The sequence below is a fragment of the Homo sapiens genome, chromosome 22, assembly GCF_000001405.40.
Source record: "Homo sapiens chromosome 22, GRCh38.p14 Primary Assembly".
Classification (NCBI taxonomy): Eukaryota; Metazoa; Chordata; class Mammalia; order Primates; family Hominidae; genus Homo; species Homo sapiens.
In genome coordinates, this window is record NC_000022.11 from 31,958,773 (window position 1) to 31,985,001 (window position 26,229).

At 49.2% G+C, this 26,229-nt stretch overlaps 1 long non-coding RNA gene and 1 pseudogene across 1 annotated transcript in view, besides 2 other annotated features; one reads left to right on the plus strand and one right to left on the minus strand.

Moving 5' to 3' along the window:
* Positions 11,181–11,230: an enhancer, noted in NCBI's record as "active region_18874". NCBI's record gives its function as "activates an Ori minimal core promoter by ATAC-STARR-seq in GM12878 lymphoblastoid cells {active_cell/tissue: GM12878}" and the evidence as "EXISTENCE:reporter gene assay evidence [ECO:0000049][PMID:35858748]".
* Positions 11,301–11,410: an enhancer, noted in NCBI's record as "active region_18875". NCBI's record gives its function as "activates an Ori minimal core promoter by ATAC-STARR-seq in GM12878 lymphoblastoid cells {active_cell/tissue: GM12878}" and the evidence as "EXISTENCE:reporter gene assay evidence [ECO:0000049][PMID:35858748]".
* LINC02558 (long intergenic non-protein coding RNA 2558) overlaps positions 12,051–26,229 on the plus strand; it is a 66,377-nt gene continuing 52,198 nt past the window's right edge. The window contains exons 1-3 of the long non-coding RNA NR_149128.1: positions 12,051–12,140; positions 14,615–14,702; positions 22,500–22,633. This is a non-coding gene — a long non-coding RNA (long intergenic non-protein coding RNA 2558). The remainder of the gene's footprint in view (positions 12,141–14,614; positions 14,703–22,499; positions 22,634–26,229) is intronic.
* RN7SL305P (RNA, 7SL, cytoplasmic 305, pseudogene) lies at positions 22,375–22,655 on the minus strand (annotated as a pseudogene).

Sequence of the window (26,229 nt, forward strand, 5' to 3'; positions counted from 1 at the left end):
TAATTTTAAGATAAAGTGGTTATTGAGTTTCACTTCAGTTAGTAGGTCAGGTATTTGAAAGTCAACAAGCTTTATATGGCTAATACTTGCTTTTGATAAGCACGTAGACAAAATGTTGCTGGGCCATGGTGGCGTGCGCCTGTAGTCCCAGCTGCTTGGGAGGATGGAGCCCGGGAGGTCGAGGCTGCGGTGAGCCGTGATTGCTCCACTGTACCCCAGCCTGGGAGATAGGAAGACCTTTTTTTCTCTCTCTCTCTGTCTCTGATAGCAAGACCTCTCTCTCTCTCTCTTTTCTCTCTCTGTCTCTCTCTCTCTCACACACACACACAAAGGGCTCTTACATTTTCTTTTTTTGTTTGAGATGGGAGTCTCACTCTTGTCACCCAGGCTGGAGTGCAATGGCACGATCTCAGCTCACTGCAACCTTTGCCTCCCAGGTTCAAGTGATTCTCCTGCCTCAGCCTCCTGAGTAGCTGGGATTACAGGCACCCACTGTCGTGCCCGGCTAATTTTGGTATTTTTGTGGAGATGGGGTTTCACCATGTTGGCCAGGCTGGTCTTGAACTCCTGACCTCAAGTGATCCTCCCACCTCAGCCTCTCAAAGTGCTGGGATTACAGGCATGAGCCACTGTGCCCGGTCGCTTTTACATTTGAAATGTCCTTTGCAGTTGCTAAAGCATTCACATTTACGTTTTACAGCTGTCTTCTGAAAGGTTTTGTCCCACTTTACAGATGAGGAAGCTAAAGTGCAAAGGTTGTGGATCTCTGGAATTTATACAGCTGGTAAGCTAGAGGACAGCTTCCACCCAAGATTTATTCAGAATTTTAACGGCCCTCTGGGGGGCCTGGGGAACCTTGGCAAGCCATGCCACCTTTGAGGTTCAGGTCCCTCATTTTTTAAGTGTAGGATTTGGGTTATGTTTTAATCTAAGTTCATGGTGTGTAAGGCACCTTCTTTGGGAATGAGGTATGGGGAAGTATGGACATACGTGATTAATGTTAGCCACATAGGTCGCGTGCAGTGGCTCATGCCTGTAATCCCAGTACTTTGGGAGGCTGAGGTGGGTGGATCACTTGAGGTTAGGAGTTCGAGACCAGTCTGACCAATATGGTGAAACCCCGCCTCTACTAAAAATACAAAAATTAGCTGGGTGTGGTGGCTGGTGCCTGTAATCCCAGCTACGATGGAGGCTGAGGCAGGAGAATCACTTGAACCCAGGAGGCGGAGGTTGCAGGGAGCCGAGATTGTCCCACTGCACTCCAGCCTGGGCAACAGAGTGAGACTCGGTTTCAAAAAAAAGAAAGAAAAGGAGGTTAGCCACATAAATAATAGATGAGGCTCTTTGAAAGGACCTAAGAGGGTGCTGTAAATTACATGTGATGTAAGCCTGGAAGTCTTCACTGCTGCATATTTTTTCCCCAATTCTACTTAAAACGTTTTAAAACTTGTCAAGATAACTTTCTCAAATCGTTAAGAAGGGGTCATCTCAATGTTACAGCATGAGAAATTAAAGTCCAGAGAAATGAAATAGCTTTCTAGGTCATGGCAAAATTGGTGCATCTGGAGTAGCATTCAGATCCCGAATCCTTGTCCCTGGTTCTCTTAACTGCCATGCTCTTTGGGTTGAGACTAGAAAGAAAATGGATACAACACATTTCACCCTTAGGAGACTTTCAGTGTTTTTAATGTTTTCACTTAGAATGGAAGAAATTATACTTGAAAAGGGATGTTTAAATTTATTGATGTTGGCTGGGCGCGGTGGCTCACGCCTGTAATCCTAGCAGTTTGGGAGGCCGAGGTGGGCGGATCACCTGAGGTCAGGAGTTCGAGACCAGCCTGACCAACATGGAGAAACCCCATCTCTAGTAAAAATGCAAAATTAGCCGGGCATGGAGGCGCATGCCTGTAATTCCAGCTACTCAGCAGGCTGAGGCAGGAGAATCGCTTGAACCTGCGAGGCAGAGGTTGCGGTGAGCCGAGATCGCGCTATTGCACTCCAACCTGGGCAACAAGAGCAAAAACTCCGTCCCCGCCCCCCCCCCCCCCCCAGAAAAAATTATTGTTGCTATTGCTTCAGATTTCCAGTAGCTCCTCAAACCCTGCTCAAAAGTCCATTTCTTTGAGTTGGGGGAAGGGGTAGGATTCTTGATAATGAAGCTATTGTTGGGTAAATTCTTGGCCGTCCTTAAATCCTTCGGGATCAGGGAGCTAGGATTCCTCTTGGCTCTGTAAGATTAAATAGGCTGTGCGTGGGCCATCAGGCCCTCCATACCTTCCTCCCATACACCCTTAGAATCTGCCATCCAGAGACTGAGAGGGTCCTCATCTTAGCAGATGTGACTATCAGGCAAGCACAAACACTATGATTCAGAGCTGGGTGTGACTTAACAGGTCTTCTTTCATTATAAAACCCAATCATTAGACTGGCTAATAAAAATTACCATCTCAAATACTTACTGTGTCTTGGGTACTTTGAATGCATGGTCTCTGAATCTTTACAGCAGCCTTAGCAGTGAGGAATGTTAATATTTTTAACACATGAGGAAACCAGGTATTCGGTGATGTAACGTGCATAGCTAGTAAGAGGCAAGGTTGAGATTGAAATGGGCTGTCTTACTTTAAGGTTCTTTCCACTACGCCATGGATATTTTGATCCCCAACTAGAGAAAAGGAGTCCTAGAAATGTTATAACAAGCCTGGCAAGGTGGTTTACACCTGTAATCCCAGTACTTTAGGAGGCCGAGGTGGGAGGAGGATTGCTTGAGTCCGGGAGTTTGAGACCAGCCCGAGCAACACAGTAAAACCCCATCTGTACTAAAAGTACAAAAATTTAGCCAGCTGTGTTGTTGCATGCCTGTAGTCCCACCTATTTGAGAGGCTGAGGTGGGAGGATTGCTTGGTCCTGGGAGGTTGAGGCTGCAGTGAGCCCTGATTACACCACTGCACTCCAGCCTGGGTGACAGCCTGTCTCAAGCAAACAAACAAACCTGAAGGAATCTATTGTCAAATTCATTTCCCAAAGTTCTACTCCCATGCCATTCTGTACTAGGAAGGGGAGGGGAAATAACATTTGCTGTCTTTTGTGAGCTAGTCAGTCACCCTGCTAAGTGAAGCTTTATGTACATTTTTATTTTTTTATTATTATTTTTGAGACAAGAGTTTCACTCTGTTGCCCAGGCTAGAGTGCAGTGGCACACTCTCAGCTCACTGCAATGTCCACCTCCCAGGTTCAAGCGATTCTCCTGCCTCAGCCTCCTGAGTAGCTGAGACTACAGGTGCATGGCACCACACCTGGCTAATTTTTGTATTTTTAGTAGAGACAGGGTTTCACCATGTTGGCCAGGCTGCTCTCCAACTCCTCACCTCAAGTGATCCTCCTGCCTCAGCCTCCCAAAGTGCTGGGATTACAGGCATAAGCCATTGCGCCCAGCCTACATTTTTTTTTTTTTTTTGAGACGGAGTCTCTCTCTGTTGCCCAGGCTGGAGGGCAGTGGCACAATCTTGGCTCAGTGCAAACTCTGCCTCCTGGGTTCGAGCGACTCTCCTGCCTCAGCCTCCCAAGTAGCTGGGATTACAGGCATGCGCCACCACGCCCAGCTAATTTTGTATTTTTAGTAGAGACAGGTTTCTCCATGTTGGTCAGGCTGGTCTCGAACTCCTGACCTCAGGTGATCCGCCCACCTCGGCCTCCCAAAGTACTGGAATTACAGGCGTAAGCCACTGCACCCGGCCAACGCCCAGCCTACATTTTAAAGTTCAAGCTAATAATCTTGTGAATTAGGTCATAGCTCCAATTTAGCAGCTCAGAGAGGAAAAGTGACTTTCTATGGTCACATAGCTGAGGAGTGGCAGAGCATGTCTTTGTGCAGGGCTTCAAGATCCTTTTCATGATGCGATGTTGTCTTCAAGACAGGGGCTGAAAGCCTGCCACTCCAGGTCTTCCTTGATAAGACCTCTTTCTTCCTTGCCAGGTAGCCTTTGCTCAATCACCTTCTTTACATTCGCCTTTTAAGCCAGATTGGTCTTTTTTACTGCCCCACCCACATCTCCAGGCAATCTGGACCTTAATGTGCTTCTTACTCCTAAAGCTTGGAGCTCCTTCACTTCAAAAAGTGAGGTACTACAGTTACAGTAGGCACTGCCGTTACAGTATAACTCAAGAGGTGGATCAAAGCACCAACTGGAATCTCTCCAGCTGCACCCAGTTTGTTCAGCCTGCTCTTACTTTTGCTCAAGCCGTTACTCTCCTGTCTGGCTTTCTTCTCTTGCCCTATTCGAATTCTATCTATGAAATCTTACCTCCTCCCTGTCAGCTACTGCGATCCCTTCTTTGGGATCCAGTACTGTGGGTCTGTACCACACAATGGCATTTATCTGTCTTCATTCATTTGACAAACACATTGAAGAGCTGCCATTATGGGGTAGACACTGGGCAGGTGGCTGGAGAGACCTTAGTGAATTATACAGACATGGACATGGACCAGGGGGCTAACTCCAGTGTTAGAGTGGGGAGATACAAAAAAGTGGGGAAGATACATTAAAAAGATATAAAGTAACTAGGAAAATGTCACTCACGGTCCTCTCCAGGTCCAGCACACAAACTCACAGTAATGAATTCATGAATAACTCATTGATTACAGGTCAGAATTTTTAAAAAGAAATGACTGAGGCTGGGCGTGGTGGCTCACGCCTGTAATCCCACCACTTTGGGAGGCTGAGGCGGGCGGATCACAAGGTCAGGAGTTCAAGACCAGCCTTGCCAACATGGTAAAACCCCATCTCTACTAAAAATACAAAAATCAGCTGGGTGTGGTGGTGCACATGTGTAATCCCAGCTATTCGGGAGGCTGAGGCAGGAGAATCGCTTGAACTCGAGAGGTGGAGGTTGCAGTGAGCCGAGATTGCGCCACTCCAGCCTGGGCGACAGAGCAAGACTCTGTCTCGGGGAAAAAAACAAAACAAAACAAAGAGAAATGGCTGAAAGGAATCCTTTATTACCCCACCCAAACCTGACAGTCATGCAGCCTTGGGCTTGGCTCTAACCTGTCAACTGGCGGTGTGACCTTGAGCAAGTCCTGGCCTCTCAGCAGCCTCTGTAAAAATGAGGTTGTTGCATTTAGTGGTCTCTGGGGACCTTTCCATTTCTGAGATTCTGTATATTATTTTCAACTGCTCTGGGAAGGTCCCCTTCCTCTTCCTGGTTTTTTCCTGCATTTCTCCCCCTCCCCCTTTCCTTCCGCTCTTCACATTTGTCCCTTCTGTATCCGCCCTCAGCCCCCATTTCCTGGCCACCCCCCAATTCCACTGAGATGGTTACCATGGGAATCATCTCCTGGAAGTGACATCACACATTTCCTAGGCAACTGTTTCCAGGACAGTGACATCATCTGATCACCATGGTAACCCTCCAGGAGGCCACTTCTGCAGTGAAATGGGCAGAGAGAATTTTATGTTTTTTCTGGAGATTGAGGGCAATGTAGGGAAATATTAACAGCAACAAAAAAATCTCAAGAGTTAGAAGAAAAAGCTTTGAATGTTGTGCTTGTTGGGGGCAAGTGGGAAACCAGTGTGGGGCTGGGAAAGAGCAGAAGCTCGGGGCTAACCCCTTCTCCTTTCCAATAACTACATTGATCATATGTCACCAAATTGGGACATTTGAGAGTGAACAGGGCACCATTATTATTATGTGGGAAAGACAAGTGAACATGGCCTCCCCAAGCAAACCAGGGTATGTGGCCCCCTGCCCATAATCAGGGCAGGTGCCCGGCCTTCTTTCCTCAGCTATGGCTCATCCAGCATGCTTTGATTCAGCTCCTCCTGTGTATGGCTACTAGGGATACCACAGGGAGCAAAACAGCCCAGATTACTGTCCTAATGGTGCTCAGGGTCATGTGTGTGTGGTGGGGTGAGGGTGACCCCACAGTCACCCAAATGCACATTGTGGTATGGACTGGGCATGGTGCTGAAAAGCGAAGGCACTTGAGGGACATGTTTTTTTGTTTGTTTGTTTTTTGTTTTTAGATGGAGTCTCTCTCTGTTGCCCAGGCTGGAGGGGCAGTGGCACGATCTCAGCTCAGTGCAGCCTCTGCCTCCCAAGTTCCAGTGATTCTCCTGCCTCAGCCTCCCGGGTAGCTGAGACTACAGGCGCCCACTACTACGCCCGGCTAATTTTTGTATTTTTGTAGCGATGGGGTTTCACGGTGTTGGCCAGGCTGGTCTTGAACTCCTGACCTCAGGTGATCCGCCCGCCTCAGTCTCTCAAAGTGCTAGGATTACAGGCGTGAGGCACCACGCCTGGCTGATTTTTTTTAATGCAAACAGGAGTGTTTCTCTCACGGCTCAAAACACGTCCACAGGGCTTCCCAGTGCTGAGAAGATGGAGGCCTTCAAGGTCCCTGCCGCCCTGCCCATGTTACCTTCATCTTGAATTCCTCTCCAGCCTGCTTTCCGCTGGGCCGCCAGCCTCCTTTCCACTCCTGATACTTTGCGTGCTCCCTCTGCACTCCAGTGCGCGCCACTGCGCTCCAGTCTGGGCGACAGCGCGAGACTCCATCTCAGAAAAATAAAAAAGCCGGGCGCGGTGGCTCACGCCTGTAATCCCAGCACTTTGGGAGGCCAAGGCGAGCGGATCATGAGGTCAGGAGATCGCGACTACGGTGAAACCCCGTCTCTACTAAAAATACAAAAAAAAAAAAAAAAAAAAGAAAAAGAAAAACAAAAAATTAGCCAGGTGGGGTGGCGGGAGCCTGTAGTCCCAGCTACTCCGGAGGCTGCGGCAGGAGAATGGCGTGAACCCGGGAGGCGGAGCTTGCAGTGAGCCGAGATCACGCCACTGCACTCCAGCCTGGGTGACACAGCGAGACTCTGTCTCAAAAAAATAAAAATAAAAAATAAATAAAAAGAACTCACCTGGCTGTTGCGTGGGACAGATGGGAGAGTAGTTTGCTCCAGAGAGAGCTTGAGTGGCAGGGACCTATGTGGGGGCTGTGACTGAGGGACATGGTGGATACTATTTGGGAGGTAGAGTTGACAGGATTTGCCAAAGGACTGAGTCTGAGGGTGAGGGCAAGGAAGGACTCAGGCTACCCAGGTTTCTGTTGTGAGTAGTGGGGTGAAAGATGAGTAGTCATCTTTCAGATGATGCAGGGGTGCAGGGCTGGGCTTAAGGTTAGCAAGAGAGGTGCCTAGGTCACAACATATATCTATATCTATATTATATTATATATGTATATTTTGTTGTTGTTGTTTTGTTGTTGTTTGAGATGGAGTCTCACTCTGTTATCCAGGCTGGAGGGCAGTGGCGCAATCTTGGCTCACAGCAACCTCCGCCTCCAGGGTTCAAGCGATTCTCCTGCCTCAGCCTCCCGAGTAGCTGGGATTACGGGCAAGTGGCACAACGCCTGGCTAATTTTTTTGTATTTTTAGTAGAGATGGGGTTCCACCATGTTGGCCAGGCTGGTCTTGAACTCCTTACCTCATGTGATCTGGCCCACGACATAGGTTTTTAAATTTTTAAATTTTATTTATTTTTTTAAGAGACAGGGTCTCACTCTGTTACCCAGTTTGGAGTGCAGTGGCAAGATCATAACTCACTGCGTCCTGGAATGATCCTCTGACCTCAGCCTCCCTAGAGGCTAGGACTACAAGTACACACCACCACAACCAGCTAATTTTTGTTATTTTTTGTAGAGGTGGGGTCTTGCTATGTTACCCAGCCTGGTCTCAAACTTCTGGGCTCAAGCAATCCTCCCACTTAGGCCTCCCAAAATGCTAGGATTACAGGCATGAGCCACCGTGCCAGGCCTAGGGAACAACATTTAAGGAGGCACACACTCTCAGGGGTGGTCTTAAAAAGGAGTGCCTTTTTCAACGCTGCACGTCGGGAGAAGCAGGTTTTTGGGATTTTTTTTAGAGGGATCGGGTGTCGTGTTTTTCAGCAGTAGTAACGACACTCTTATGTTAACATGGGGGCTTTCACTTTTACCAACCCCCTACTAAAGGTGGAGAGAGCATTGTGTGCCAGCTGTGTTACTGTCCCCACAGGAGCTCTGGGAGGGGGCTCCGCACCCACTGGCCTGTCTTTTCTTTTTTTTTTTTTTTGAGATGGAGTTTCACTCTTGTTGCCCAGGTTGGAGTGCAATGGTGCAATCTCGGCTCACCGCAACCTCTGCTTCCTGGGTTCAAGTGATTCGCCTGCCTCAGCCTCCCGAGTAGCTGGTATTACAGGCATGCGCCACCACGCCCAGCTAATTTTTTTTTTTTTTTTTTGAGACGGAGTCTCACTCTGTTACCCAGGCTGGAGTGCAGTGGCGCGATCTCGGCTCACTGCAACCTCTGCCTCCCGGGTTCATGCCATTCTCCTGCCTCAGCCTCCCGAATAGCTGGGACTACAGGCACCCGCCACCACGCCCGGCTAATTTTTTGTATTTTTAGTAGAGATGGGGTTTCACTGTGTTAGCCAGGATGGTCTCGATCTCCTGACCTCGTGATCCTCCTGCCTCGGCCTCCCAAAGTGCTGGGATTACAGGCGTGAGCCACCGCACCCGGCTAATTTTGTATTTTTAGTAGAGACAGGGTTTCTCCATGTTGGTCAGGCTGGTCTTGAACTCTCGATCTCAGGTGATCCACCAGCCTCGGCCTTCCAAAGTGCTGGGATTACAGGTGTGAGCCACCACGCCCAGCCATGGCCCATCTTATAGATGAGGAAATCAGGCTCTGAGAGGTTCCAGATCTTCCTGAAGGTCCCATGGCTTGCAAGTGGGGGCAGCAGGCCTCAAACTCAGGCTTGCTGACTCATGAGCCTACTCTCTTCCCACCATGTGATGTTTCTCCAGCCTCCCGAGTTTCCTGGGGAGGAAAGGAAGATAATCCAAGAGCCCATAAAGCCCCAGGTGCTTTCAAGTTGGCCACCTCCTTGTTGCTCACCACCATTGAGGGTGCAGAGGAGCAAACCAAGGGTCTAGGAAGTGACAAGATCTCTCAGCTCAGCAGAGCTTCATCATGAGAGCCACTTTCTATTACAGGTGCTCTCCACCTGCCTTTAAGGTTCTGCCTGGCCGGGCGCGGTGGCTCACGCCTGTAATCCCAGCACTTTGGGAGGCCGAGGCAGGCGGATCACGAGGTCAGGAGATCGAGACCATGCTGGCTAACATGGTGAAACCCCGTCTCTACTAAAAATACAAAAAATTATCCGGGTGTCGTGGTGGGCACCTGTAGTCCCAGCTACTCGGGAGAGTGAGGCAGGAGAATGGCGTGAACCCGGGAGGCGGAGGTTGCAGTGAGCCGAGATCACACCACTGCACTCCAGCCTGGGCGACACAGTGAGACTCCTTCTCAAAAAAAAAAAAAAAGAATTAGGGCAGGCGGGCAAAAGGTGTTTGTGCATGACACATGAGCCTGTGGGGTAGAGGCGGGAGAGGCGGGGTACAGGGACATGTGGGACAGATGGTTGCTGGGGTAGAAGCCTCCTCCTCACCAGCTGGTTCCCAGGGACAGCATACTTTGTAGCTCTCATTTCCAGGCCTACACCTGAGGCAGGGAGAAGAGGGGAATGAGCAGGCACATCCACGAAGCTGAGGCCTCAGGGGGCAGGACTGGTGGAAGGGGCCCTCTGCCTCTAGCTACCTCATAGCCCACCCCAACCAATAAATAACCATGGTTTTGCTAGTGCCTCCAAGTACTGGACCTCAAAAGTCACAAACTACCCGGAGATTAAAAAGAAATGAATAGGCTGGGCACGGTGACTCACACCTGTAATCCCAGCACTTTTGGAGGCCGAGGCAGGTGGACTGCTTGAGTTCAGGAGTTTGAAAGTAGCCTGGGTAACATGGCAAAACAGTAAATACAAAAATTAGCCAGGCCTGGTAGTTCCAGCTACTCAAGAGGCTGAGGTGGGAAGATTGCTTGAGCCTGGGAGGTCGAGGCTGCAGTGTGCCAAGATCGTGTCACTGCAATTCACCCTGGGGAACAGAGTGAGACTGCCTCGAAAAAAAAAAGGAGTGAATAAACACGAAGATTAGGCCCTGTGACCCCCAACACACACGCACACACACACACATGCGCGCACACACACACACACACTCCTTTTTATTTTGAGATAGAGTCTTGCTCTGTTGCCCAGGCTGGAGTGCAGTGGTGCAATCTCGGCTCACTGCAACCTCCGCCTCCCGGGTTCAAGCTATTCTTGTGCCTCAGCCTCCTGAGTAGCTGGGATTACAGGCGCGTACCACCACACCAGGCTAATTTTTGTATTTTTAGTAGAGACAATTTCACCATGTTGGCCAGGCTGGTCTCGAACCCCTGACCTCAAGTGATCCGCCTGCCTCGGCCTCCCAAAGTGCTGGGTTTACAGGTGTGAGCCCCTGCGCCTGGCCATACTGCTTCCTTAATGTATTAGGGTTCAATCAGAGAAACTGTACCAGTAAGGGGATACAGATTAAGAGATTTGTTGCAAGGAGGTGATTTGCGTGATTGTGGGGCTGGCTAGGTAAGTGCAGTAAGTGCAGGCTGGAACTCTTGTCAAGGGCTGAAGTTGCTATCCACAGGCAGAATTTCTTCTTCAGGAAAACCTCAAGTCTGATTTTAAGGCCTTTCAACTGCGTCTATCAAGCCCACCTAAATTATCCAGGATATCTTCCTTTTATGTAAAGTCAACTGATAATGGACTTTATTCGCATCTACAAAACAACTTCACCAAAACATCCAGTTTAGTGTTGGAATAATTGGGGCCTTTAGTCTAGCCAAGTTGACACAGTAAAAAAGACATCACACTCAGCAGGGCATGGTGGCTCAGTCCTGTAATCCTAGCACGTTGGCAGGCCAGGGCGGGAGGATTGCTTGAGGCCAGGAGGTCCAGACCAGCCTGGGCAATGTAGAAAGACACCATCTCTCCAAAACATAAAAAAAGATAAATTAGCTGGGCTCGATAGCTATACCTATAGTCCCAGCCACTCAGGAGGCTAAGGTGGGAGAATCACTTGTGCCCAGGAGTTTGAGGCTGCAGTAAGCTATGATCATGCCACTGTACTCCAGCCTAGGTGACAGAGCGAGACTGTGTCTCAAAAACAAACAAACAAAAAGCAGTGGAACGTTGCTTTACATATATTAGAGCACTTACCACATGCCCTGTGGTTAAGTGATTTGCATGCAGCATCTCAGTTAATCTCAGAACATCCCGTGACGCAGGTATCCTTCTTGTCCCTGATTTTACAGTTCAGGAAACGGCCTCAGAGAGGTGAGGAGACGCCCACAGTCGCGTGGCATGGTGCACCTGTGTTCTGAACTGTCACTTGCCTCTCCCTGTGAGCCTCTCTTTACTCTGCCTTGTCTTCTTGTCCTGGGGCAAGAAGTTAGGGTTCAAGACCCTTCGGGATGTGAGGATGTTTCTGCCACTCTGGACATTAGTTTTCTCCCCTAAGTGGCTCTATCTCTCCCGGCCTGAGTTTGGAAGGGAGACACCATTCTGGTACGACTTTTCTTAGGCCTGTGCTGCCATCTATGGGGCTCGAAGGTGCTCGCCATGCTCCAGACCGGCCACCTGGCAGTCAGGTGAGCTTGCAAGTGTGAAGAGCAGCGGGATGCGGGGGAGGGAGCAAGCCCAGTAACAAATAAAGCAAATATCATCGGCCCTTGTCCTCAGCTGCTCGCTCAGGCCCCCCAGAATCCTGTAGCATTTCTGGGGATTAAGAGGGTGGTGGGGTTTTCACCTCTATCACGTCTACTGCCAGCCTGGCGCCCAAAGGTTCGGCCGTCATCCGCCCCAGCGGGTCCCTGGAACCGCCGGGATGCCCAGGCTGCCAGGGGGTCTAATGGGGAACTGGGAGTTTCTTTCAGGTCACAGGATAGGTCTGCAGTGCGACTCAGGCTCCCGCGGGGACCTGCCCACTCGAACGGGGGAGGAGGAAGAGGCTCCGGGGGAGAGCCAAGGAGGCGGGGAAGAGGAGCGGCGTCCCGGGAAAGGGGATGCTGGAGCTCCTGCCGACGCTCCACCTGTAGCCCCGCCCTTGACTCCGCCCACTTCCCCAGCCCCTCCCTTCCAGGCGCAGCCTCGAGGTGGCGCTGTGGAGCCGCGCAGGGTCTAGGGCGACTCTCTGAGGGAGCCGCGGCCGCCAGGCTCCGTGGGTTTTGGTTCAGGCGCCGGTTAGTGTCGGGGTAGGCCACGCAGTGAGTTGGCTTGAGGCAGGAGGCAGGCGGAAACCGAGGCTGAGAGGCTGGCTGTCGCTGCCACCCCTCAGCAACCCCAGTGCAGCTGGTCATCCTGTCAGCCGATCAGTCAGTCGCGTCCCCAGCCCGGCTCACACGCCTCCTCCATCAGTCCCTCAGTCAGTCCCTGCGTTTCCTGTCTTTCCCTTGCCTTTCTCCCTCTTTTTTCTTGTCTTTTCTTTCTTTCTTTTCCTTCCTTCTCTCTCTATTTCTCTCACTTTCTTTCCTTTTCTTTTTCTTTTTATGAGAGGGGTCACCTCACTATGTCACCCAGGCTGGAGTGCAGTGACGTCATCTCGGCTCACTCAGCTTCGACATCCTGGGCTCAAGCCATCCTCCCGCCTCGGCCTCCCAAAGCTCCGGGATCACAGGCAGAGCCACTGTATCCGCCCAACCATTGCGGTTCCTGCCAGGTGGTCGGCTGGCAGGTCGGCCCTTGTCACCTGGGTCCCCGAGCCCTGCACACTGTGAGGGCGAACAGAGTCCATGGAGGATGGTGAGGGGAGGAAATATGTGGAGCCCAGGCCTTGCTTTTTCTGTTTTTTGTTCTTGTTGTTGTTGTTGCTGTTGTTTTGTTTTTTTTTTTTTTAGACGGAGTCTCGCTCTGTCGCCCAGGCTGGAGTGCAGCTCACTGCAAGCTCGGCCTCCCGGGTTCACGCCGTTCTCCTGCCTCAGCCTCCCGAGTAGCTGGGACTACAGGCGCCCGCCACCACGCCCGGCTAATTTTTTGTATTTTTAGTAGAAACGCGGTTTCACCGTCTTAGCCAGCATGGTCTCGATCTCCTGAACTCGTGATCCGCTCACCTCAGCCTTCCAAAGTGCTGGGATTACAGGCGTGAGCCACCGCGCCCGGCCTCTTTTTTTTTTTTGAGTCTTGCTCTGTTGCCCAGGTTGAAGTGCAGTGGTGCGATCTCTGCTCACTGCAACCTCTCCCTTCCGAGTCCAAATGATTCTCTTGCCTCAGCCTCCTGAGTAGCTGGGATTACAGGCACTCACCACCACGCCTGGCTAATTTTTGTGTTTTTAGTAGAGGCGAGGTTTCACTATGTTGGCCAGGCTGGTCTTGAACTCCTGGCCTCAAGAGTCTGCCCGCCTCGGCCTCTCAAAGTGCTGGGATTACAGGTGTGAGCCACTGTGCCCGGCCGTTTTTTTTCTGTTTTTGGTCAGAGTTACTTGCCAAAGGGCTTTGGTTTTTTCCCCTCAGGATCTCCCAGGCCCTTGGGGGGCAGAGGGGACAACGATGCTGACCCGCTCCTGAGGTGGCGCTCGGCCAGCACAGCTGTCCCTGGAGCAGAAGAGTGGCAGTGGAGGGGCCAGAGCCCTGGCTTTCAGCGGCTGTACTGAGAGTTACTCCACGTTCAGCCCTTCCCCGCCCGACGCGGATTGGCTGTGGGCTGGGTCTGATCCTTCCCGGACCTGGAGCAGCTGTGGGCTGGGCCTGATCCACTGACTGCCTTCTATGTTAGAGCTGGCAGCATGGGGGCCCAGACCCGGGCCCTTCCAGGAGGTGCCAGGGCAGTGGGACCCGGCCCTGAGCTGGAGAGAGCATTCCTGTGCTGGTCGTGGCAGTGCTTCCACCTCACTGTGTGTGCTTGTGCAGGTCACTTCACCCAGGCCTCGGTGTCATCACGGACAGCTTTCAGAAAGGGGAGACAGCCTGGACATGGTGGCTCACACCCATAACCTCAGCACTTTGTGAGGCCAAGGTGGGGAGGATCACTTGAGGCCAGGGGTTCAAGACCAGCCTGGGCAACGTAGTAAGTAACCCCATCTCTAAAGAAAAAAAATTAGCTGGACATGGGAGGCCGAGGTGGGAAGATGGGGCTTGAGCCCAGGAAGTCGAGGCTGCAGTGATCCTCGACTGCACTCCAGTGGTGCATTCGATTACACTACTGCACTCCAGCCTGGGTGACAGCGGGGAGACCCCTCTCAAACAAACAAAATCCCCCCAAACCCAAACCTGCCACCTACTTCCCTGCCCTGCCCGGTACTGTGGGTTTGGAAATATAACCATGGAGGTGAAAGCCCAGGTGTGAGGAAGTTATAACCTGACCTCTCATGGTTTTCCTGATGCAGGGGAGGAAGAATGGAAGAAAGAAATGAGAAAAGGCAGGGGTGGCCTGAACTCCTGGGCTCCAGGGGACGCTGTGTCTGTTACCCCCACCCATAGGAGCCTGGGGTTCTGGCCTGGGCTGTGTGACCCTGGGCCTGTCTCTGCTGCTCTCTGGGCTTTTACAGCAGTGAAGAGCTTGGGTTCTATGATCTCTAAGGCTTGAGACTTGAGTGGAAGGGTTTCTAACAGAAATCCTGGGGCCATGATGTTCGGGGAGCAAGAGCTAAGCTGTCTGGTGCAATAGCCACTAACCACGTGTTGCTGTTGGGCACTTGACATGTGGCTTGTCTGATTTCAGGTGTGCCCAAGGATGTTGTAGAACTCTGTCTAGCCACAGTGTGGGGATGGGGAGCTCCCGCCGACAGACTCTGTTGCTTTCTGGCTTGGTAAGTGGGAATACCGAAGTCCCTGGCTGTGTGTTCAGCCCAGTGGGGTTGGGATAGGTACTGGGGAAGGTGGGAGCTGGGTCAGAAACCCTCCCTCAGCCCAACCTGGGTGGACTCCTGGGACCCTTGGTGGGAGGAGGGGTCTGATGACCCTGGGGGAGGGAGGGAGGGGAATTGGCAAGACTCAGATGTATACTCTGGGGACGACGATCCTCTCTCTTTCTGCCCCAGTCCCGCTCCTTTCTTTGAAGCTGGGGTCCCCAGCTCACATCATGCCCAGGCAGCCTCAGTGTTCCAGTGAGGCGGGAGCTACAGCTCCTGGAAATTAGAGGTGACCTGGGCGAGGCAAGTTTTTTGTAGGGACCTGGTGGGATACTCCCAGGGGATTGTTCTCCTGGGCAGGCCTGGGAAGTCCCAGGAAGAGTTGGTTATTCATTCACATCCAGTGTTTATTGGACATCCACCACATGCCAGGCTTTGTGCCAGGCAGTGAGTGACAGGAGTGAACTGTACAGACATTGACCCTGTTTATGGAGTGCAGTGTCTAGAAGTGGTGATAAGGGCAATGGGAGAAGACAAAAATGAAAGTACACGAATTAGTTAAAGTAAAAATTCTGATACCAGGCACGGCGGCTCATGTCTGTAATCCCAGCACTTTGGGAGGCCGAGGCCAGCGGATCACCGGAGGTTGGGAGTTGGAGACCAGCCTGACCAACATGGAGAAACCCCATCTCTACTAAAAATACAAAATTAGCTGGGCGTGGTGGCACATGCCTCTAATCCCAGCTACTTGGGAGGCTGAGGCAGGAGAATCGCTTGAACCTGGGAGGCAGAGGTTGTGGTGAACGGGGTTGCACCACTGCACTCCAGCCTGGGCAACAAGAGTGAAACTCTGTCTCAAAAAAAAAAAAAAAGTTAAAATTGTGGTATGTGCTGTGAGGGTAGCAAGGCGGGTGCTAAGATAGAGAACAAAGCAGGCCATTCTGGGAGGATTCTCTGAGCAGGTGACACTTAGCCTAAGACCTGAAAGAGGAGGAGCCATGGGATGGAAAGAGTGTTCCAGACAGAGGGAATAGCATTCATCCACTCACTCACTCATGCATGTGTTACTCTGTGTTGGACGCTGTTCTATTTGCTCCCAAAACAGCGATGAACAATACAGGAGAAATGCTTTCTGTCATGGAGCTTATGTTGTACTGGAAGAAGACAGAAGGCAAATAACCAATTAGACAAATAATATCAGGAAATGATGAATGCTCTGGAGAACATAAAAAGATGATGGGCTAGCAAATGACTAAGGATGAAGGGACTATTGCAGATAAGGTGGAGAGGGAAGGCCACTCTGGAGACCTGAATGATGAGAAGGAGCCAGGCAATGGAAGGGTCTGGAGGAAGAGCATTCCAGAGAAAGGGACCAGGAAGTGGAAACGAGTTTAGCAGATTTGAGGCATATGGCCAGTGGGAGAGTGATGGGCAGTGAGGTGCAGGGAGCAAGTTGTGGAGGGTGTGGCAAAACTAGGCCAGGAGTTTGGATTTTAGTAGAAGGCATCGGGAAGCTGGTGGAGGGATGTGGGTAGGGGAGTGGTCCAGTCCCTCAGGCTGCTCTGTGTGGGTATAGAGTGAGAAGGTGGGAAGGTGGGAGTTAAACTAGTTAGAAATCATTGAGGCCGGGCGCAGTGACTCACGCCTGTAATCCCAGCACTTTGGGAGGCTGAGGTGGGCGGATCATGAGGTCAAGAGATCGAGACCATCCTGGCCAACATGGTGAAGCCCCGTGTCTACTAAAAATACAAAAATTAGCCAGGCGTGGTGGCGTGCACCTGTAGTCCCAGCTACTTGGGAGGCTGAGGCAGGAGAATCGCTTGAACCCGGGAGGCGGAGGTTCTGTCTCAAAAATAAATAAATAAATAAATAAATAATAAATAAATAAATGGAAAGGAATCATTTTGTAGTCCAGGCAAAATGTTGGTGGCCTGGACTAGGGCAATAGCAGTGGAGATGGATGCAGGTGAACAGATATATCTATGGACGGAATTGACAGGACTTTATAACCATTTGGATGAAGGAAAATGAGACTCCTTGGATTTGACTTCTAGCAACTGGGTGGATTATGGTGCCATTTACTGAGTTGGAGTGGGTTGTGGGAGATACATTTTGGGGAGGAAAATGCAAATGCAGTTTTGATGAACTTAGAGATTTCTGTAAGACAGGAAAGCGGAGATGACAAGCAGGAAGCTGGGTCTCTGAGCTTGGAGCACAGGGAACAGGACTGGCCTAGAGATAAATTTGGTTCAGGGCACAGGCAGCTCTGGTTAGGCCCACAGAGACAGTACTGTTCAAGGGACAAGCACTAAGTTGTCCAGCACAGACACTAGGCTCTCCAGCACAGTAGCCATGAACCACATGTGGCTTTTGGGCACTTGACATGTGGCTTGTCTGATTTCAGGTGTACTGGAAGTATAAAGGACACACTAGATTTTGAAGAGTTAGCATGGAAGAAAGAATGTAGAATATCTCAATAATTTTTATACTGGGCCAGGAATGGTGGCTTATGACTGTGATCCCAGCACTTTGGGAGGCCGAGGCGGGTGGATCACGAGGCCAGGAGATCAAGACCATCCTGGGCAACATGCTGAAACCCCGTCTCTACTAAAAAATATTTAAAAATTAGCTGGGTGTGGTGGTGCACGCCTGTGGTCCCAGCTACTAGGGAGGCTGAGGCAGGAGAATCACTTAAATCTGGGACGTGGAGGTTGCAGTGAGCCAAGATGGCACCCCTGCACTCCAGCATGGCGACAGGAGAGACTTTGTCTCAAAAAAAAAATTTTTTTTTAATACTGATTATACATTGAACTGCTAATAGTTTGTATATACTGGGCTACATAGAATACATTAATATTAATATTATTTTGTAGAGACGTGGCCTTACTATGTTGCCTAGGCTGGTTTCAAACTCTTGAAACCAGCAAGGAGGTCCTTCTGCCTTGGCCTCTGAAAGTGCTGAGATTACAGGTGTAGGCCATTGTGCCTGGTCATAAAATAAATGTATTATTAAAATTAATTTCACCTGTTTATTTTTACCTTTTAAAATGTGGCTACTAGAAAATGTAAATCACATTTTTTTTGTTTGTTTTTGTTTTCTGAGACAGGGTCTTACTCTGTCGTTCAGGCTGGAGTGCAGTGGTGCGATCTCAGCTCACTGCAACCTCTGCCTCCCGGGTGGAAGCAATTCCCCGCGTCAGCCTCCTGAGTAGCTGGGACAGGTATGTGTCACCACAACCAGATAATTTTTGTATTTTTAGTAGAGAAGGGGCTTCCCCATGTTGGCCAGGCTGGTCTTGAACTCCTGACCTTAAGTGATCCACCCGTTTTGGCCTCCCAAAGTGCTGAGATGTATTTCTTTTCTTTCTTTCTCTTTTTTTTTTTTTGAGACAGAGTTTCACTCTTGTTGCCTAGGCTGGAGTGCAATGGCGTGATCTTGGCTCACCACAACCTCCGCCACCTGGGTTCAAGTGATTCTCCTGCCTCAGCCTCCTGAGTAGCTGGGATTACAGGCATGCGCCACTACGCTGGCTAATTTTGTATTTTTTTTTTTTAGTAGAGATGGTGTTTCTCCAGTTGCTCAGGCTGGTCTCGAACTCTGACCTCAGGTGATCTGCCTGCCTTGGCCTCTTAAAGTGCTGCAATTACAGGTGTGAGCCATGGCGTTTCTCCAGTTGCTCAGGCTGGTCTCAAACTCCGACCTCAGGTGATCTGCCTGCCTTGGCCTCTTACAATGCTGGAATTACAGGCGTGAGCTACTGCGCCCGGCTGTTGGGATGTATTTCTAATGTTCCATAGGGTAGGGCTGGTGGTGTGTTGTAGGGTGTGGCAGATCAGGGCACCAGGGGGCAGCAGTGGTTAGGAAATTGAGAGGCATTTCCGATGAAGACAACCTAAGGGAAACCCAGAGTAGGGGTTGGCCTGTCTCTCTCTAGCTCCCTTCCTGACACCTTGTCAGAGCACAACCGTGGCACACCCCCTTGGACTTCCCAACCCCGTGGCTGTCTCAGTTGGAGTTGAGGAACAGGTAGGAGGGGTCCCCATGAGATGGTGGTGTGAACCACTCAAGAAGTTGCTGGTACTTCAGGCTCTGATCTCACTCTCTTCCTTTAACTCCAGCTGACATCACTGTGCTAGGGGAACATTTCCACCTCTTGGGCTGAGCAGGGTATGCCAACCGACAGCTGGGTAGTCAAGGCAACCAAGGCAATAAAGCTCACAGAGGTTAATTTATATGAAATGAATGTGGCTGTAACTGGTTTTCATCCATTATAATTCTAAACATCATGTTCAAATTGCCTGTAGTGTTTTTAGTTGGCAGGAAAACTGCCATTAGGGAAAAAAGAGCAGAGGGATGATTGGGGGCGAGATTGAATTCACTTTAGTGGGTTTGGTGTGACTTTGGTTGAGTGTCGCAGTGTGCCAGACTTTTGTGAGTGTCGTAGTGTGACTTTTGTGAGTGTCACAGTGTGCCAACAACCAGTTGGGTTGTTGACTGTGCAGTCCTCAAGGAATATATGTATCAGTGATTTAATATAGGGAGAAATGTGTAGAGGGATAAATAGAGACCCATGAGAGCTCAGAGGAAGTGCAGTTAATGCTTGTGCATGGGTGCGTGAAACTGTGAACTCAGAGAGAAAGTGCCAGGTAGCATCAGAGCAGACAGTCAGGATTTAGCCATGCAGTGGAGGGGTGGAGAGTGGGTTTGCAGGCACTGGGACAGCAGCAAAGGACATGGCTCAAGGAAGGACAACGAGATTTGTTTGGCCATGTGGAGCAGGGTCCTAGGAAAACAAAGATGGTGCCAGATCTTGAGAGGCCTTGGTTTCCCAGTTAAGGAGATTGGACGACTTTATTATTTTATTTTCCCTCTTTCCATAATTCAGAGAAAGAGAATGGACTTTGGATTGCAGGTACTTAAGAGCTTTTGAGGAGGGCCTGAGCTGGACAACACTGTGCTTAGAAAGAAGAAACCATACAGTGCTTCAGTTTTTGTGGAGATAAAATAAAATATGAAAAACAGAAGAAACCATTTGCCTTTTTGGTGCTCAGAGGGCAGGGTAGGAGAGGAAAAGGAGCTTGTGTGTTGCAAGCAGGGAGGTAAAGAGCCCCTTTGGGACTAGTCAGTTGGCAAATAAGGCAGAGTGGGAGAGCAGTTAGGAGTATTTGTTTTGGGAATGGAAAGACCTGGATTTGATCACTAATCCTATAATTTTTTTTGGTAATAGCTTTCTTGAGATGTAATTCACATGCCATACAATTCACCCTTTAAAGTGTACAATTCGATATTTAGTATGTTTATAATTACACAACCATTACCACAATAATTTTACTTTTTAAAAATAGAGATTCAACTCACATACCATAAAACTCACCATTTTAAAGTGTACAATTCAGTGGTTTTTGGTATATTGATAAGGTTGCACAACCAGCACCACTATCTAATTCCAGACTATTTTCTTTCTTTTTTCTTTTTTTTTTGAGACGGAGTCTTGCTCTGTCGCTCAGGCTGGAGTGCAGTGGCGTGATCTCGGCTCACTGCAAGCTCTGCCTCCAGGATTCACAGCATTCTCCTGCCTCAGCCTCCCAAGTAGCTGGGACTACAGGTGCCCGCCACCATGCCTGGCTATTTTTTTGTATTTTTAGTAGAGACAGGGTTTCTCCATCTTGGTCAGGCTGGTCTCGAACTCCCGACCTCAGGTGATCCGCCTGCCTCGGCCTCCCAAAGTGCTGGGATTACAGGCATGAGCCACTGTGCCGAGCCTAATTAATTTTTGTATATGGTATGAAGTAGGGGTCTACTTTATTCTTTTGTTTGTGGATATTCAGCTGTACCAGTACCATTTGTAGAAAACACTATTCTTTCCCCATTGAATTTTTTTGGCACCCTTTTCTAAAATCAGTTGCCCACAAATGTATCCCTGCCACTTTTTTTTTTTTTTTTTTTTTTTTTTGCAACCCTTCTCCTTCTATAACCTACCACTTTTTAGCTCTGTAATTTAAGCCTCAGTTTTCTTATCTGTGAAATAACAGTAATATCCAGGACTGACTCATCCATCAGGCACAAGAGGCTCAATATTCTAGGTCCCATGGTACTTTTAAGGGTCCATAAAAATGTTTTAGTTATTTTTTGGCCAGGCGCAGTGGCTCACGCCTGTAATCCCAGCACTTTGGGAGGCCAAGGCAGGCAGGTCACCTGAGGTCAAGTTTGAGACCAGCTTGGCCAACAAAGTAAAACTCTGTCTTTACTAAAAATACAAAAATTAGCTGACATGGTGGTGGGTGCCTGTAGTCCCAGCTACTTGGCAGGCTGAAGCAGTAGAATCGCTTGAACCCAGGGGTTGGAGGCTGCAGTGAGCCAAGATTGCACCACTGTTCTCCAGCCTGGGTGACAAGAGTAAGACTCCCTCTAGGAAAAAAAAAAAAAAAAAAAAAAAAAAAGGGCCGGATGCGGTGGCTCATGCCTGTAATCCCAGCACTTTGGGAGGCTGAGGCGGGCAGATCACGAGGTCAGGGGTTTGAGACCAGCCTGACAAACATGGTGAAACCCCGTCTCTACTAAAATTACAAAAATTAGGCGAGTGTGGTGGTGCATGCCTGTAGTCCCAGCTACTCAGGAGGCTGAGGCAGGAAAATTGCTTGAACCCGGGAGGTGGAGGTAGCAGTGAGCTGAGATGGCGCCACTACACTCCAGCCTGGGTGACAGAGCAAGACTCCGTCTCACAAAAAAAAAAAAAAAAAAAGTTTTGGTTACTTTTCACATCTGAAGAAAGAAATGAAAATTTAGGTCAAAGAAAACGTCTTGATATATTAAGACATTATTAAATATTCTTTTATCAATGCAGCTGTAAAATATAATTTTTAGTATTATTTTTATAGAGGAAGGGGCCCACAAAAGCAAAGGTGTCTCAGACCCGCAAAAATCCTACTGTGGGCTTGACACTGTTTGTCTCACAGGGTTATCATGAGGATGCAATGTGATAATCATGTCAAATCTCATGTGCTGTGCTGGCCCATAGTAGGCCATCAGTAAACGGTCAGTGTTTATGGAGTAGCAGACAGAATCTCCCTCATCAGCCTGGGCCCCTTTAGCAGGAGAGCAGTGGGGGGGCTTTTCTGTCCCGCTAGCACCTTGGCAGGCTGGTGAATTATTGACTGTGCAAACCCATGAAGGAACCACTTAGTGAGCTTGAGGGAAGGGCAGTGCTAAGGAGCTGGTCCTCTGCCCCAGTTTCCTGTCCTGACACCTCTGAGGGTTCAGGGGCACCTGTGGCCTCACCAGGCAGAGAGAGAGTTGCCGAGGTGGAGAGGAGGCAGGCAATAGAGGGGTTCTGTGCCTCAGCGCCTGGTGGGGTTGGTAAAGCTCCCTAGCTGTAATTCCCTGCCTTTGTTAGGCAGAGAGACCTGGTGTCCACCTGGGTGGAGAAGGCAATGACCATGAGTGACTTAAATGGCTCTGACAGCCAATACTCGTTTTTTTTTTTTTTTTGAGACAGGGTCTCACTCTGTCACCCAGGCTGCAGCACAGTGGCACAATCTTGGCTCACTGCAACCAATGTTCTTTTTTAAAAAATAAATAAAGATGAAATTCACACAACATAAAATTAACCATTTTATTTATTTAGTAGAGATAGGATCTTGCTATGTTGTCCAGGCTGGAGTACAGTGACTATTTACAGGTGTGATACCTCTACTGATCAGCGCAAGAGTTTTGACCTGTTCAGTTTCTGACCTGAGCTGTTCACCCCTCCTTAGGCCGCTGGTTGTCCCTTGCTCCTGGAAGGTCACCATATTGATGCCAAACTCAGTGTGGATGCCCAATTGGTAGAGTGCACTACAGCCCAGAACTCATGGACTCAAGTCAGCCTCCCAAGTCCCTGGGACTACAGGTATGCACCAAAATTAACCATTTTAAAGTGTATGATTCAATGGCATTTAGTACATTTATGATATTATGCAACCATTACCTCTAATGTAGTTCCAAAATATGTTTATCATCCCGAAAAGAAACCTTATACTCCTTAAACAGTCACTTACCATTCCTCCCTTGCCTTAGGCCCTGACAACCACTCATCTGCTTTCTGTCCCTATGAATTTGCCTACTCTGGACGTTTAATATAAATGGAATCATACAATACGTGACCTATTGTGTCTGGCTTCTTTAACTCAGCATAATTTTTTTTATTTTAAAATTTTATTTTTTTGAGACAGAGTCTTGCTCTGTTGCCCAGGCTGGAGAGCAGGGGCGTGATCTTGGCTCACTGCAACCTCTGCCTCCTGGGTTCAAGCGATTCTCATGCCTCAGCCTCCCAAGTAGCTGGGATTACAGGCACGTACCTGTACATGTGTTTCATGTGCTGGTTACCATTTGTTCACTATGCCCAGCTAATTTTTTTTGTTTGTATTTTTTTTTTTTTTGAGACAGAGTCTCACTCTGTCACCCAGGCTGGAGTGCACTGGCGCTATCTTGGCTCACTGCAACCTCTGCCTCCCAGGTTCAAGTGATTCTCCTGTCTCAGCCTCCTGAGTAGCCTGGGACTACAGGCACGTGCCACCATACCTGGCTAATTTTTTTGTATCTTTAGTAGACATGGGGTTTCACCATGTTGGCTAGGCTGGTCTCGAACTCCCGACCTCAGGTGATCTGCCCGCCTTGGCCTCCCAAAGTGCTGGGATGACAGGCGTGACCCACCGGGCTTGGCCTTGTTTGTATTTTTAGTAGAGATGGGGTTTCACCATGTTGACCAGGCTCAGGCAATCCTCCTGCCTCAGCCTCCAGAAGTGCTGGGATTACAGGCGTGAGCCACCATGTCTGGCCCAGAATAATGTTTTTGAGGCTCATTCATGCTGTAGCAGGTATCAGCACTTCATTCTTTTCATAAGTTGAATAATAGTCCATTGTGTGGAATATACCACATTTGGTTTATCCATTCCTTTGTTGATGGACTTTTGAGTTGTTTCCACCCTTTGGTGATTGTGAATAGTGCTGCTATGAACATTTGTATGTCAGGTTTTGTTAAAATACCTGTTTTCAATTCTTTTGGGTATATGAACATTTGTATATCAGGTTTTGTTTAAATACCTGTTTTCAATTCTTTTGGGTATATGAACATTTGTATGTCAGGTTTTGTTTAAATACCTGTTTTCAATTCTTTTGGGTAGGAGTGGAATTGCTGGGTCATAGGATTATTCTCTGTTTCACATGTTGAGGAACCTCCAGACTATTCTCTAAAGCAGCTGTACCATTTTACATTCCCATCAGCAATGTATAAAGTTTCTCCACATTATCATAAACACATTATTATTAATATTATTATTATTATTATTTTGAGACAGGGTCTTGCTCTGCTGCCCAGGCTGGAGTGCAGTGGCACAATCATGGCTCACTGCAGCCTTGATCTCCTGGGCTCAAGCAATCCTCCCACCTTAGCCTCCTGAGTAGCTGGGACTATTCCACCCCAACATGGCATGCACCATCATGCCTGGCTAATTTTTTGATTTTTTGTAGAGATGGAGTCTTGCTATGTTGCCAAGGCTGGTCTTGAACTCCTGAGCTCAAGTGATCCTCCCACCTCAGCCTCCCAAAGTGCTGAGATTACAGGTGTGAGCCCCTGCACCCAGCCATTGTTTGTTTTTTTGATTATAGCCATCCTAGTAGGTGGGTGGGCAGTGGTATCTCATTGTGGTTTTGATTTGTGGTTTCAATTTGTATTTCCTGGCCGGGCGTGGTGGCTCATGCCTGTAATCCCAGCACTTTGGGAGGCCGAGGCAGGCAGATCACCTGATGTCAGGAGTTCAAGACCAGCCTGGCCAATATAATGAAACCTCGTCTCTACTAAAAATACTAAAATTAGCCGGGCACGATGGCAGGTGCCTGTAATCCCAGCTACTCGGGAGGCTGAGGCAGGAGAATGGGTTGAACCCGAGAGGCTAAGGTTGCGGTGAGCCGGTATCATGCCATTGCACTCCAACCTGGGTGAGAGAGAGAGACTCTGTCTCAAAAAAAATTTTTTTTAATATTTCCCTAATGACTAATGGTGTTGAGCTTCTTTTCATGTGCTTGTTACCATTTGTTCTTTTTTCTTTCTTTATTTTTTTTTTTTTTGATCCAGGCCTGGTGAATTCTCCACCAGTCCCTATAAGAAAACCTTGCCCCGGGAGATGGAGGTTGCAGTGAGCCAAACTCACGCCACTGCACTCTAGCCTGGGTGACAGAGCGAGACTCTGTGTCAGAAAAAAAAAAAAAAGAGAAAACCTTGCCCTGTAGGAGTCCCCTTCTCTGGGGAACAGCTAGCCTTAGATGTTAAATATACAGTCTAAGTGCCCTCTTGGCCTCATGTGTCCTGCAGACTCCTTCTCTACCTGGCGTCATCCCAGATCTTGCCTTGGGTCTTGGGCCTTTCCTGCTGGCCATAACGTTCCCAAAGGGGTAACAGTTGTGTCTTTGGGAGCTCTTCTCTTTTGCCCTGACAAATTCCTTATTGTTTATCTGGAACTTGTTCATTGTTGCCTCTGCCCACTTGGGCCTCACTGAATTCTTCTCTCCACCTCCTACTCATTCCTGGTTATCTTAGATTCCTTAGCCTCTAACGTTTTCTAGACTCTCCCCCTTGGTCCTGGTGGACTCTCCCCAGTGGACTCAGTTGGCAAACTTTCCAGCCTGGGGGCCCTGCTGTTCTGGCACAGCTAGGGAGAAGGGCAGGAGGCTGGCTGGCCTCTCTGAGGGTGTTGGGGTGGCAGATCATTCACGCTTCACTTCTCACCGGAGTGGTGGGGAGGTCTCTGGAGGACCCTGGCTCTGGAGAAGGAGGGGGTTGCCATACCAACCCTTGTAGCAGGAGCATAACAGTGATAAAAACCCGCATGTCATTTGTGAGGTACAAAGTCCTGGTCTAGTTTGGGCCCAGGGGTTTTTCCTTTCTGCAAGATGGCTCTCTCTTTATTCCATCTCTTGCTCACTCGCTGACTCACTGACAACATACATTTACTGGGTGCTGACTCTGCAAAGCCCTGTGCTGGGCCCTGAGACTAAAAAGCTCAGCATTTGAGCCCCTCATGGTGTCTAGACAGATAAACACACAAATGCAATATGATGTGATGTGTGTGATAGCAGGGTATGTATGAAGGCAGTGGGAACCCAGCTGAAGTAGGAATCACTCTGCCTTGAGAGAAAAAAATGGGTAGCTTGAGCTGCAAGGAAAAGGTGACATTTGAGTTGGTTCTTGATGGAGGAGAGACTGACGTAGGGGAGAAAGGCATTCTAGGTAAAGGACTCAGGTTCTTCGAATGGACTCGGCTCAAGAGCGATTTAGGAGGAAACTCAGAAGCCCACTGCATTTCCTTTGTCTTTCTCCCCAACTACACTGGGAACACCTTGAAGTCGAAAGACGCAGTCTAAGGCCAGGTGTGGTAGCTCATGCCTATAATCCCAGCACTTTAGGAGGCCGAAGTGAGCGGATCACTTGAGCCCAGGAGTTTGGGACCA